At 44.9% G+C, this 12,980-nt stretch overlaps 1 protein-coding gene across 2 annotated transcripts in view; it reads left to right on the top strand.

The window, feature by feature from the left end:
- GOLGA8B (golgin A8 family member B) overlaps positions 1 to 12,980 on the top strand; it is a 58,557-nt gene that overhangs the window by 39,436 nt on the left and 6,141 nt on the right. Inside the window, exons 8-15 of one of the 2 annotated variants that reach the window (NM_001023567.5) lie at positions 6,569 to 6,872; positions 8,227 to 8,351; positions 10,043 to 10,162; positions 11,254 to 11,370; positions 12,217 to 12,255; positions 12,521 to 12,568; positions 12,657 to 12,741; positions 12,838 to 12,947. In NM_001023567.5, the coding sequence (NP_001018861.3) occupies positions 8,304 to 8,351; positions 10,043 to 10,162; positions 11,254 to 11,370; positions 12,217 to 12,255; positions 12,521 to 12,568; positions 12,657 to 12,741; positions 12,838 to 12,947 (567 nt within the window). In that variant the 5' untranslated portion in view covers positions 6,569 to 6,872; positions 8,227 to 8,303. Of the gene's footprint in view, positions 1 to 6,568; positions 6,873 to 8,226; positions 8,352 to 10,042; positions 11,371 to 12,216; positions 12,256 to 12,520; positions 12,569 to 12,656; positions 12,742 to 12,837; positions 12,948 to 12,980 lie in introns of both variants that reach the window. The other variant, NR_027410.2, reaches the window with a different exon arrangement.

Here is a 12,980-nt window from a genome sequence, read left to right as displayed (position 1 = left end):
ACACAGCCTTTAGGGCAGCTTGTGACCTATTTCTATGGTCAGGAAAGACACCTGTCTTTCCCTGCTGCCTACAGCCTCCAGTTATTCACCTTCAGAATTTCCTAGTCTGTGATCACATTCAGATGAGAGATCTGTTTTGTTTTTTCCAGGGTAGGAGGAAGTGAGTCATCACCTATACTAAGCAGTCTAGTCTTCTGTATATAAATGAGCAAGGTTGGGGAGCCAAATTTGAGAACCTTGTGTAATCCTGACATTCTCCAGGAGAATCCAAGAGAATATCAGGATTACGGACGGTGGTAAAGGGGTCTCTTGTTAGTTGTCCCCACAGCTCTCATCAGAAGCACGCACAGATACTTTTTCTAGGAAACCATCTCTAACTTAAGCCTGTAGGATTCCCAAAGATTAAAAGCAGGCAACTATGAATTCAGTGAAATCATAGCATTCAAGTAGTGAACCCAATATATTTGAGAATTATCAGAAACAATGAATGTTTTCCAAAGACTGTAGGTTTTGGAATTATCAGATACAGAATACAGACTTCAAATATTAGAATTGTGAGAAAATAGTTACATGTGAAATAAATGTATTATATAAGAAAAAGATGGACTCATAAAATTGAGCGAGCAGGAGCAGTAAGACCACCAGGAATGATGAGGAAGACGTGAAAGGAAAATGGATGAAATAGAACTTACAGAAATAAAATATATAGCTGGGTATGGTGTCTCACACCTGTAATCTCAGCACTTTTTGAGAGGCTGAGGCGGGAGGATGGCATAAGCCCAGGAGTTGGAGACAAGCCTGGGCAGCATGGTGAGAACTCGTTTCTCCAAAAAATACCCCACCACCACCAAAAAAAAAAGAAGAAGAAGAAAAAAGCTGTGTATGGGGCACCTACCTGCCTATACTCCCAGCTAATCAGGAGGCTGAGGTGGGAGGATCACTTGAGCCCAGGAGGCCAGGGCTGCAGGTTCGTGCCACTACAGTCCAGCCTGGGTGACAGAGTGAGACTCTGTCTCAGAATAAAATGAAATAAGGAAATATAAAATGGAATTGTTGAAATAAGAAACCGAGTGGATGGATTAGACACCAGAAGAAAGGATTAATTGGTTAGACCATTATCTCCAAAAAGTAAGTCCATATGTTACACAGAGAGATATGAGGATAAATGACAGGGCAGAAGTTGGTGGGGTTGGCGGGGAGAGGGAGATCAGAATGAGGTCTAAAATACGTCTTAGTGGAATCCCAGGAGGAGATATTAAAATTATATTGGAAAGTGAGAGAAATGGAAGTTCTAAAGGTGACAGAAGGAAGTCCACATAAATGAGTCACAACAACTGTAAATGGACTAAAGTTACCAGTTAGACAGATGGAACTAATAAAACGATATCCAGCTGTTCTAATCCATCTTATTGAAACTATGAGGATGTGAAAAGATTGAAAGTTTTTATAAAGGAGAGAGAGAGAGAAAGATATGCCGGTATACATTAACCAAAACAACTGATGGAGCTTCAGTTTCAAACAAGATAGGATGTTGGAACACAAAGCATTAGTAACAGCTTGATGCCAACTGACTGTTAATTAGGAGGATGTAGCAATTTTCATATTTTATGTACCTATCAAAATAGACTCAAAATACAGAGGAAAAACTGATAAAACCACAGGGAGAAATTGACGAGTCTGCCATTGTATTTGGAGATTTCAACATACCCTGCTTACCATAAGTAAGTTACACAGAATGCCCATATATAGATTTGAATAACCCGTGAATGGACGTGATGTAATGGACAAATATAGACCTCTGTACCCAATAATCAGATATTCTGTATTCTTCTCAAGCATATGTGGACTGTGGGAGAAACATTAATTATGTATTAATCCATTAAGCACGTCAGAAGATTGAAAAACAATTGGTACAATCCACACCATAAAATTGATAATTTAAATATGAAGCAGTTAAGGTTAGAAGTTAATAATGAAGAGATTAACCAAAGGCTTCATGAACTTGGAAATTAAACACCCTTGTAATTCATAGTTAAAAGAATCCAATGAAATTTTAGAATGCTTAGAATTGAACCATAGTTAAAATAGGAAACTTCTATCTACCCCTCTCTCTCGCCCTCTCCCTCCCTCCAAGGCCCAATTCTTATATTTCTGCTTGTTAATTTGCTATAGTTAATTCGGATATATACAAAGACTAAGAACAATTCCTTGAATACAGTGACAACCTGTACCTGGAATAGTCCAAAGCCTAATTACCCTGACTCCTCCACCAACAGTTCCCAAACTGGTGTACTAGAAAGTCTTCCGAATGCTCTTTGCAAAAAAAACAAAAACAAAAAAACAAACAAACCAGAAAACAACATCGTGGCCATATAAATTCATTGTTCTGAGAGGTCCCGTTGAATTTACCAAGCATTTCCCAAATTGATTTATTCATCAATAATCCCGAGGTGCTGGGATTACAGGCGTGAGCCACCATGCCCGGCCTTCCATAAGGCATGTAAAGGCACTTCCAAAGGTAGAATCAACAGACTTTCCAAAAGTCAGTGGCAAGGTCTCCAGACTCAGACCCGCCTTCAAGTTCCAACCCCCAGCAACCCAAAGGCAATGAATTGTCCTCCCAGAATAGCATCAGATAGCGATTAGAACGTGGTCCTCAAATTCTCCAGATCAACTCCAAAAACATATATACTATTAACAGGGGAAATATTGTGAACTGAAGTCTTTAACAGATAACATTAATCAAAAACATTTCTATGGGTAAACGATTATATATAAAATAGGTTTCTCACCAACAAAAGCCCCTATAATTTCAGGCTGATGACAATTTAACTTATGTTTTAAATGCATAATTATGTCAAATAAATGCATCTACAAAGGCCTGAATACAATCTCTGAGTCAAAGGTCGCCCCATCTTCTCAATGTCACATTTGATTATACGTGTATTTGAGAGAACATCACTCATTATTTGTTTTGGGAGTATAATGGAATATTATCTAATATTTTGGATATTATGGAAACTAGTTGATTGGAAGTCAATGGCACTGTTTCTGTTAAAAGAGTAGGATCCTCCTCAGTAGACAGAGACGTGTAAGAATAGTCATTGTACATCGACAGAGCGTCAGTATCAGGCAGTGGCTTCAAAGCCAAAGTGGTGGTTGGATGTAAAGTGGAATTTTAATTGGCAAAGGAGGCGGATAGTGAGCAATGTTGATTCAATAATAACGTAAAGTCCAGGAAAGCCTGTGGCTGTAAAGAATGTTGAGCCATAGAGCCCATGGGAAATAGGAAAGGGGGCCTCGAAATATTCAGAGACTCGTAGAAGGGTAGCGTAAATACCTAAGGTAATTGTGATGGCTAGTGCTTGAAGTATTTGCTTTCGACTACCTTCTATCAGGCTGTCTAGAAACTTGGAAGTTTCTTGAGGGCAAGAATGAAGTCTTTTACAGCTTGTGGTGTGCCTCTGTGTACCCAACAGGTCCTCAATAAATAATGTGTTACCCTACTTTGTCATACAATATAGGACATACTTAGCTGTACAGCACGATGTGATTTGATCACACCTAACCTATGAGTGGACAATCACAGCGTTCTATCTGTTTAAAAACAACACTCCCTATTCCCTTTCACCTTCGTAATATATGCGTTTGGTTTCTAGGAATGTTGGTTCTACCCATATGTTTTTAGGCAATAGCACAATCTGTGATGTGCCTAAGTAAAATTATACCAAGCATTCTATGGCGGCAAAGCTAATGCACTGCTCTTTGTTTCGATTAAGATTTTAGACGTTTGAAAATATAAATTGAGATATTGGACAGTGAGGGTTTTATTTTGGAGGTTGGAGGAGATTGAAATGTTGGGGTAAAACTGCTAGGCTCCTTTGGGACTTGTCTGTCAGGGTGGGGAGAATATACAAGTTAACCAAATCTTGTAAATTCTCACAGTGCTTAGTTTTGTGACTGTACAAAAACTGGCATTGTTTTTCCTGGGTCTCAGTGGAGAAACGTGAGCTGTGAGATTAACATCCTCTTTACTGTGTTTTGGCCAGGATTTTGCAAGCTTTTGTGGAGAAAATTATATTGCTTTTTTTTATCCTGTTGTAACATATATGTATATCAGTATGCTTCCTTGTGTTTTACTGTGGTAAAATTGTATCTTGCATATAGAGAAATAAGTCTATTAGAGTGAACTTTAAAAAATCTTTACTCTGAGGTGCCAGCCTTGTGTAATGAACCATATGTTTAAGCCTCGTAAATACATCACACTAGAGCCCAGCATGGTGGCGTGCGCCTGTAATCTCAGCCACTAGAGAGGCTGAGGCAGGAGTATCGCTTGAACCTAGGGGTTTCAGACCAGCCTGGGCTACATAATGAGATCCCATCTCAGTCAGTCAACCAGTCAATCAGTTACACAAAAAAGATCAAGGTCTTTCTTGCCCTTTTAGAATGTCTTTCCCAAACATTCTAACAAATGTCTCGGTGTCTCAAATAATGAAAAGGGTTTATGACAGAGTTACGGCAGTCATCAGAGAAAAATCCTGGACAGATTGCAAATGTATACCAGTTGTGAATTTCTATGACTGCAATTGAAATCCAACATTATTTTTGTACGGTCTTCTTGGGTGTATCTGTGTTTAATAACTTGTTTTCAAATTTAGAGGACTGTAGCTATGGTTTCTTCTTAGAGACCTTGACCTTGAGGGGCTCACAGTTTAATGGAAGAGAGAATTAGAAACCAAGAACTAAATGCAGAGAGTGAGGTTCTGCAGTACAGGGTGTATAGAGGGTGCAGAGCAGCACTGTGGCGCCGTGTTCTGGCCTCATCTTCTACTGCTCTAGACTTCCTGAAATGCCATTTCCTGACCCCACCTGGACCTCTCTCTGTAGATGCTGTTCTATCTCCTTGCAAGCCTTTTCTACAGCTTAAGTGCCTGCTGAAGTTCTGTTTCTTCAGAAGCTTCTTGAAGACTGCCTGTAGCTCACCCAAATAATTGTTTTGTCTACATCTCTGTTATTTCTTTAATTACAGCCAATTCTTACTATTTGCAGGAGTAATATTCTACAAAGTTGCCTGGAACACTGAATTAATCAAATAGCAAACCCTTGTTTCCAGGGTAAATATGTACATAAATACATATGTCATATAGGTTATCATCTTAATTCCTAAAAACAACTCATCCTGGTAGATTGAATTTTCTTTCTTTCCAAAAGAATAACGGAAGTACAGAATTGTAAGTGATTTGTCTGAGGCCACTCCACTAACAGGTGCCAGTGTTATGATTCAGACCCCGCCCAACTGGCCCCAGAGCCACAGCTTCTTGCGCTACCCTGCAGTGTCCTCTACTGTCTCTGTCCTCAGGTCATCTTTGTATGAGAGTTGAAACAAGCAGACCAAGGTCACTGTTTGACCTTAGCTTGGGACGTGTGCAAAGAGTGACAGAGTTTTCACTACTGCATGTCTATCCAGGAGCCACCTTGAAAGTGCCACAAGTATTAATTTGGGACTTAGAAAGACATTTTAGCAAGTAAGCTAATTTGAAAATATGGGATACTCCAATGATGAGGGTCAACTGTATTTGTAAGTGACTGCTAGGGTCTGTTTCATGGTAATCCCTTCCCGCAAGAATGTGGAATGTTTCTTTAGCTTCTTTGATAGTTTATTTATTCATTCATGTATTTATTAAGTCCTTATTATAAGCCAGACTCTGCTTTAATCTGTGTGAACAAGCTAGAGATTAAGGTCCTGCCCTGTGGATTTTATATTAGAGTAAGAAAGACAGATAGCTAAGTCTGGAGCTCGGGGGGGTGGGGGGCGGCGAGGCCCCGGTTGGAATTATAGATTCACTTGACCAAGGTGAAACCTGGTGTGCCCCCTCCTGCTTCACATCCACAGATATACTTCCAGAACATTTCTGTTCTATTCTTGTGTATAAAATCCTCCTTTTGAGCCTCTCTCCATTGATGCATGTCAACCTCTACCTGTCTTTTGTTGATTTTGAGGCCACTTGCCCATGTGGCTGGCAGGATATTGAAGAAGAATCATACTGACCTGGCTCTGCTACCTACCAGCTGAGTTACTTTGGTCAAGCTCTTGGACTTCTGAGCCTGTTTCCTGATTTCAAAAGTGGTGATATGATGTGTTAGGCACTGGTGGGTTGCAAGGAAGATGCACGCATGTATTCCCTTTGTGATGAGGGCCGAATGTTAACTTGGATGGAAAGTCATCCAAGCAGCCATATTGTCTCTGGCCCTAGTACTTTCAAAACCTCACAGAACATTAATTTCACAGTATTTAGGATAGGACTTGAGCTCTGAAGACCTATAGTGTGGTTATTTGTTCATATGGCTGTTTTCCATACTAGACCATGAGCTCCGTAAGGGCAGGATCTACAGTTTCATCTTTCTATCCTGGGCACTCAGTTCACTGCCTGATACACAGTAATAGAGGCACAAATGTTTCAAAAGTTGAGGAATTTTCAACACTTCCTGAAAGAATAGGAAGATATAAAGGCTTCTCAGAGAAGGTATTATTTAAGCTTTTCTTTTTCTTTTTCTTTTTCTTTTTCAGATGATGTCTCACTCTGTCACCCAAGATGGAGTGCAATGGCACGATCTCAGCTCACTGCAACCTCTGCCTCCCAGGTTCAAGCAATTATCCTGCCTCAGCCACCCGAGTAGCTGAGATTACAGGCCTCTGCCACCATGCTCAGCTATTTTTTGTATTTTTAGTAGAGACGGGGTTTCACCATGTTGGGCAGGCTAGTCTTGGAACTACTGACCTCAGGTGATCCGCCCACTTTGGCCTCCCGAAAGTGCTGGGATTACAGTCATGAGCCACCATGCCCAGCCTATTTATTTCTGATTCTTTAAGGGTGAGTAGAAATTTTTTCCAGGTGACTAAAACCTTGAGACATTATTCCAAGCAGAGACCAGCGGGGCAGAGACACGGGGATATAGAGATGTTGAAGTTTACCAAACACTGCTAGATTTAAAAAACAGAAAAGAAACAATCAAAATCAAAAATTAAAATTAAAAATCACCTAAAAAAAAAGAAACTGTTAATGGGCTTGTCCAAAGGTGACGTCACAATTGAGTTAACTATGACCATAGACACACAATAATGGATGGAAGTTTTGGGGAAAAAACATAACATTCTCAGGTTGTTGGCAGAGTATCTAGAACAATTTAGAAATACAGATATTGAATTCTGGGAATAATTACACTGTAGTGAAATCATTTCCTTCTCTGCGTATGAAGCATGTATGTGTGGCACACTGTTCAAGGTGCTGAAAATCAGACTCTTCTCAAGGAGCTCATGAGCAATCAAGGGAGATGGATGGGTGAGCCACTGATTATCATGTGACAAGTGGGGTAATAGAGATATGACTAAAATGCTATCCAAAGAAGAAGAAAGGAATTATTCATAGTATATGGAGTGCTGGGGAAAGAGTTCTGAAATGAAGCCGGCCGGGTGTGATGGCTCACACTTCCACTACCTGACCTCAGGTGATCCACCAGACTCGGGCTCCCCAAAGTGCTGGGATTACAGGTGTGAGCCACCGCACCCAGCCCAAAAGCTTTGTGTTTTTACGGATATTAACCATGTTTCCTGTTTAAAAAGAAAAAACAGCAACAATGTAGGAGAATAAGAGAAACATTTTTCCAAAAAAGAAATCATTTTGATTATTTTATCTCATTGGAATGTTGGATAATATAGTCTGCTTCATTAATCATCAAGCATGCTGTGGATTTCCCACTTTTATAGGATCTGTATCTCAGTTCAGGTAATACTGGTAATTTTTATACAGTATTTGAAGATGAAAAATATAGGCCAAAATGACAGACCTTGCATAGAAGCTGGTTAATGAAGACAGCTCTGGAGGAACACATGGATACACACAGAGAGACACACACATATATATAAAGTATACACACATATGATTTTTAAAGTTTTAAGGGTTTTAAAGCAAAAGCCAGCCCCTCCACTCTCCCAGAGCGGGCGGCCCCTCCCCTCTCTCAGAGTGGGTGGGGACAGCGGTTGCATGGGCAGCTTTCCTGATGAGCCACAGGTCCCTCTGGACACACTGCCGCCTGGCCACGCCCCCTTTCCCTGTCATCTTTCTCGTTGGCCAATGGGCTTGAAGCATTAAGGCCACGCCCCTATTCTGCATTCTACTGTGGCCCTGGTTACGCTGCCTCTGGGTCAGTTACGCAGCTGTCTTCCAGGTGACTGGATGTGTTGATCAGCGCTCGCTGGGATTTGGCTGACGTGGCCCCAGCCCCGCCTCCCTCCCCACCCCACAATGGCAGAAGAAACTGGACAGAGTAAATTAGCTGCAGCCAAGAAAAAGGTAAAGACGTACCGGGTCATGGCCCGCTAACCCAGCCACAGATCCCCTCCGACGACAAGACCGCTGCCACAGTCCATACTACTCCTGACGCACACCGGACTTTGCCCCCCAACCCCGGCGCTTCTGGGCTCCCCCTACAAAAGTCTTGTCAGTCAGCCCTGCCCCTTCAGCAAACAGCTCAGTCCCTGCCCTCGCCGATCACCCCGGGGTGACGTTGGGCGGGTGACTCCTGGGGCGCCCCACTCCATTACTGGGCCCTCACCTCTTGCCGCCCCAAGTTGGACCTCCCTGGGCTCTTTGGGCTCGCATATCCAAGGACCTGGGCCCCCCAGCCCCAGGCCCCGCCCTCGCCAGTTGTCCCTGGGTGACTTTGGGCTGGTGACTCCTGGGGCTCCCTGCTGCAGACTCTGCCCTCCCCTCCTGCTGCCTCAAGGTCGACCTCCCTGAGCTCTTTGTGCTGGCGTCTCCAAGGACCTGGGTCACAACCCTGTGTTTCCCTCCCGCGTTGTGGAGTGGAGACTCGGACATCGCGCTGATGTGGTCCCTCCCCCGCACTAGGAGGAGTGGAATGTAGTGATGTCACAGTCTGCCTACTAACTGTCATTACTGGAAGACTGGCCCTGGTCTTATGACCCAGTCCCCTAAACGTTGTCACCCCGTTTCTGGTTCTTCTGGTCACAGCAGAAATTTCCAGCTGGAAGGGAAATGGAGACTATGGGACCTGGGAGCAAGAGGTTTCAGGCTGCCTTACTCCCTTACCATAGACATTGACAGTGGGAAAAGCCTACACTTCCCCCGTGAGCTCAAAACGTTGACAGTGTCTCTGGGTGGCGATGGGAGAATGGGTTTGGTTTGGTTTTTCTCCCAAGCTTCTACTTTCCAAAGAGATTTTAACATTTTTTTCCGAGTTCTCCACCTCATATTCTAATTCTCCATGGTTCTGGGACCAGACTTCAGTCTGGGACCTTCAGTCAGTGGTCTCTGAAGTGAGATTTCCTCATCTTCTGTGGAATAGATCTTGGGAGACTGAACTTGACAGTTTGAATCTTCCTCATATTATCTCAAGCTGGGGTGCTTTGAGTACCACAGGATAAATGTGGGACATCTTTCTGAAGCATCAGTTTCCTTTGATTCTCTTGAGATATCTTGAGATAAGAGAAAAAACATGAATGTACTTAGGGATGGCAGTCCCATAGGTTTCTAAGAGTATACCAGACTTCTCTCTGAAATGAGGCTTGGGTTGTCCTCTTTCTGATAAATTCCCAGATTTCACAGAAAGGCTGCCTTCTGCCATGAGGACACATTGATATAAAAGTTTGAGAGGTACTGGTGCACTTCTTCCCAATAACAGACGTGTGAAGATGTACGACTCTAAACCACATGACATACAGCTCCTGCCTACTTAATGTTTACTTTTCTACCTCTGCCTCTGGGTTTGGTGCCTGGCAAAACCCCAGAGCTTAGAGTGGGAAGACTGAGTTTCCAAGTTCCAGTATCGCTTTTTTCTTTTTTCTTTTTTTCTAGCCATGATGTCGATCCCTCTCAGTCCCTAAATGATTGTGACACCTTATAGAGTTGTTGGTGTCATTAAATCAGATGGTATATAAGAGTATTTTATAAAAACTATAAAGGAGGATGTGGCTGTAGGGGCTGATAGTTCTCATGAGTATTACTGCTCTTCTTTCCCACAGTTCAAAGAATATTGGCAGAGAAACCGCCCTGGTGTTCCAGCAGCAGCGAAGAGGAACACGAAAGCAAATGGCAGTAGCCCTGAGACGGCCGCTTCTGGTGGTTGCCACTCATCTGAGGCTGTGAGTCTTGCCTGGACAGGCTTTTGGGGACAGGGGGCCCAAGGAGCAGTAGAGGGCAATCGTTAAGATTGTGGATGGACTGTTGGGTACTGGTGAAGGATTCTGGATTTGGCCGGGCACAGTGGCTCACGCCTGTAATCCCCACACTTCGGGAGACCGAGGCAGGTGGATCACAAGGTCAGGAGATCGAGACCATCCAGGCAAACACGGTGAAATACTAAAAAATACAAAAAAAAAAGCCGGGCGTGGTGGCGGGCGCCTGCAGTCCCAGCTGCTCCGGAGTCTGAGGGAGGAGAATGGCGTGAACCTAGGAGGCGGAGCTTGCAGTGAGCCAAGATCACGCCACTGCACTCCAGCCTGGAAGGCAGAGAGAGACTCCGTTTCAAAAAAGAAAAGAATTCTGGGTTTGAATCCTGCCTCTCCGTCTGCTAGGGATATGATTTAGGGCAAGTTGCTTGAGCTCTTTGGGCCTCTGTTTTCACGTCTGTATGATAGAGGTGGTATTGTTTGACTTGTATTTGTGAAGTTTCAATGAGATTGATAATTGTCGATTTTATGTTAATCCCTAGTACATGGCCTGCTGTCAACACCCAGGACACCCAGGATATGGTCTTTGCTGTTTGATTTTCCTCATCCCCAGTCTCAAGGGGAAGCCAGGACAATGAGAACAGCCACTTCCCATCAGGAGTCACTGCAAGGCCCCCAGGGTGGGATGGTGGGGAGATAAGAACCGTGAGAGAAGTTGGCACAAAGGAGTTATGGGACAAAGGGTCCAAGATAGGCAGAAAAGAAAATGTTGCCAGTTGATGGGGAAGAAAGGAAGTCGGAGGGCTCAGACACTGAGGGGGACAGAACATCTCCATGTGCAGTCTCATCTCTTATAGTCAGCAACAGGTATCCACGGGGAGGGCCCTACATCATCTGCTACCCTGAAGGATCTGGAGGTAGGAGGCTCTGGGTGGAGGTGCAGTGACCCCGCAGGCCAGCCCTCCAACCTCCTCCCGCAGCGGGGACTGGGTGCCCCTCTGCCAGCTGAGACAGCCCACACACAACCCAGCCCTAATGATCGTTCTCTCTACCTCTCCCCCAAGTCCTCCTCCGCCTCCTCCTCTCTGCATGCGCGTCAGAGCCCGTGCCAAGAACAAGCAGCAGTCCTGAACTCGAGGTCCATAAAAATCAGTCGACTGAATGACACCATCAAATCTTTGGTAAGAGTCCAGTGGGGTCCCCTGATTCCACGCTGCCAATCCTGGGCTCCGGTTTCCCCTTGGGGCCCTGAAGAAGGGGGCTGGGGGCCCCTGGTGCCAAGGGCAGATAGGGAGCTGGGGCGCCCAGGCCTCACCTGGCGGGACCCCAGAGCATGCAGCATGGCTCTTCTTTTGCTGCCCTCTTTGCCGACTCTCTCCTCTCCAGGCACCCCTACTCGAGTCCTTGCTACACACGCCCTGGGGTTGTTGCCTCTTGGGGAAGTGCTGGCCTGACTGGTTGTCAGGGGCCCCGTATTTCTGCCATGACTCAGTCCCTAATTTGCTCTTTGATTCTGGACAAGCCACCTCTCCTTTTTGGGCTCGTGTTTCCAGAGGAGGTAGTGAGTATCAAAGGTCTCTGTTAGCTCTGAGAGTCTGAGATTTAAAGGCCCCCTAGAATGGAAAGCTCAGGGCCAAGGGCTCTTGTCTGTTCTTTTCCATCCTATATCGGCTGTGAAGAACCGTCCCTGGCCCGTACGTGCTCAGTAAATGTCTATTGAATGAACACACTTTTCTAAATCACAAGCTGGCAGAAGGGGGAGCCTTTCTCAAACTCCATCTCTAGAGGTTTATGTTACTGTCCTCTCAAGAGATTCCTGATTCAGACTTTGAGTTGTGAGGCTGTGGCTGAAAACCAACAAAGACCCAAATCCTCTGTCCTTGGGAGCTTGGGAACAGTTCCTGTTCCCATTGGGTCTGAGAACTTTGCCTTTAAAATCCATTCCTGGCCCCTGCCTGCCGCTTCCTGTCTGGGGAATAGAGTTGAGGGGGCCACCCTCCATCACTTTAATTTGACTCTCCCCACAGAAACAACAGAAGAAACAAGTGGAACATCAGCTGGAAGAAGTAACGTGATTTCTTTGTTTGCTGGCGACATGACTGCTGGGTTTGGGGGACACTCAGATGTAGAGGCCCCAGTCTCGTCTCACCCACTCCCAGCCTGGGGAAGGAGGCTCACCCCTCAGATTCCACCCCATCCCCACAGGGTCCCTGATAACCGGGTCCCATGGGTGGGCCTGTCCTGGGGCATTGGTGGCATTCTGGGGGCATATCTCTTGCTGTGCCTTCTCTGCCTCCCCCTGGTAAGAGCTCTGTCTTCCTCTTCCTATAGGAAAAGAAAGCAAACAATGAGAAACAGAAAGCTGAAAGGGAGCTAGAGGTGAGTGGAGGGTGTGAAGTTTCCTCCTGTCCTCCGGAGAATGTTTCTTTCCTTCTATTTCAGCACTTGCTTGGCTTTTCTCCCAAAGGGTCAAATCCAGAGATTGAACACAGAGAAAAAGAAACTAAATACGGACCTGTATCACATGAAACATTCTCTCAGATACTTTGAAGGTGGGAATCTGGGCACCCTGTCATCCTTCAACCTGGCACTTTGACAGGTCTGTAAGGCGGAGTCCTTTGAGCCCCATGTCAACTCTGTCATTACAGAAGAGTCCAAGGATCTGGCCGGCCGCCTGCAACGTTCATCGCAGCGTATAGGAGAGTTAGAGTGGTCTCTCTGTGCTGTCGCCGCCACACAGAAGAAGAAGCCGGATGGGGTGAGTCCAGTCACCTGCCCTGTCCCCTGGGAG

Source organism: Homo sapiens, chromosome 15 (genome assembly GCF_000001405.40).
Source record: "Homo sapiens chromosome 15, GRCh38.p14 Primary Assembly".
Classification (NCBI taxonomy): Eukaryota; Metazoa; Chordata; class Mammalia; order Primates; family Hominidae; genus Homo; species Homo sapiens.
The sequence above is the reverse complement of the archived record's forward strand: the minus strand, read 5'-3'. Positions and strand labels throughout refer to the sequence as shown.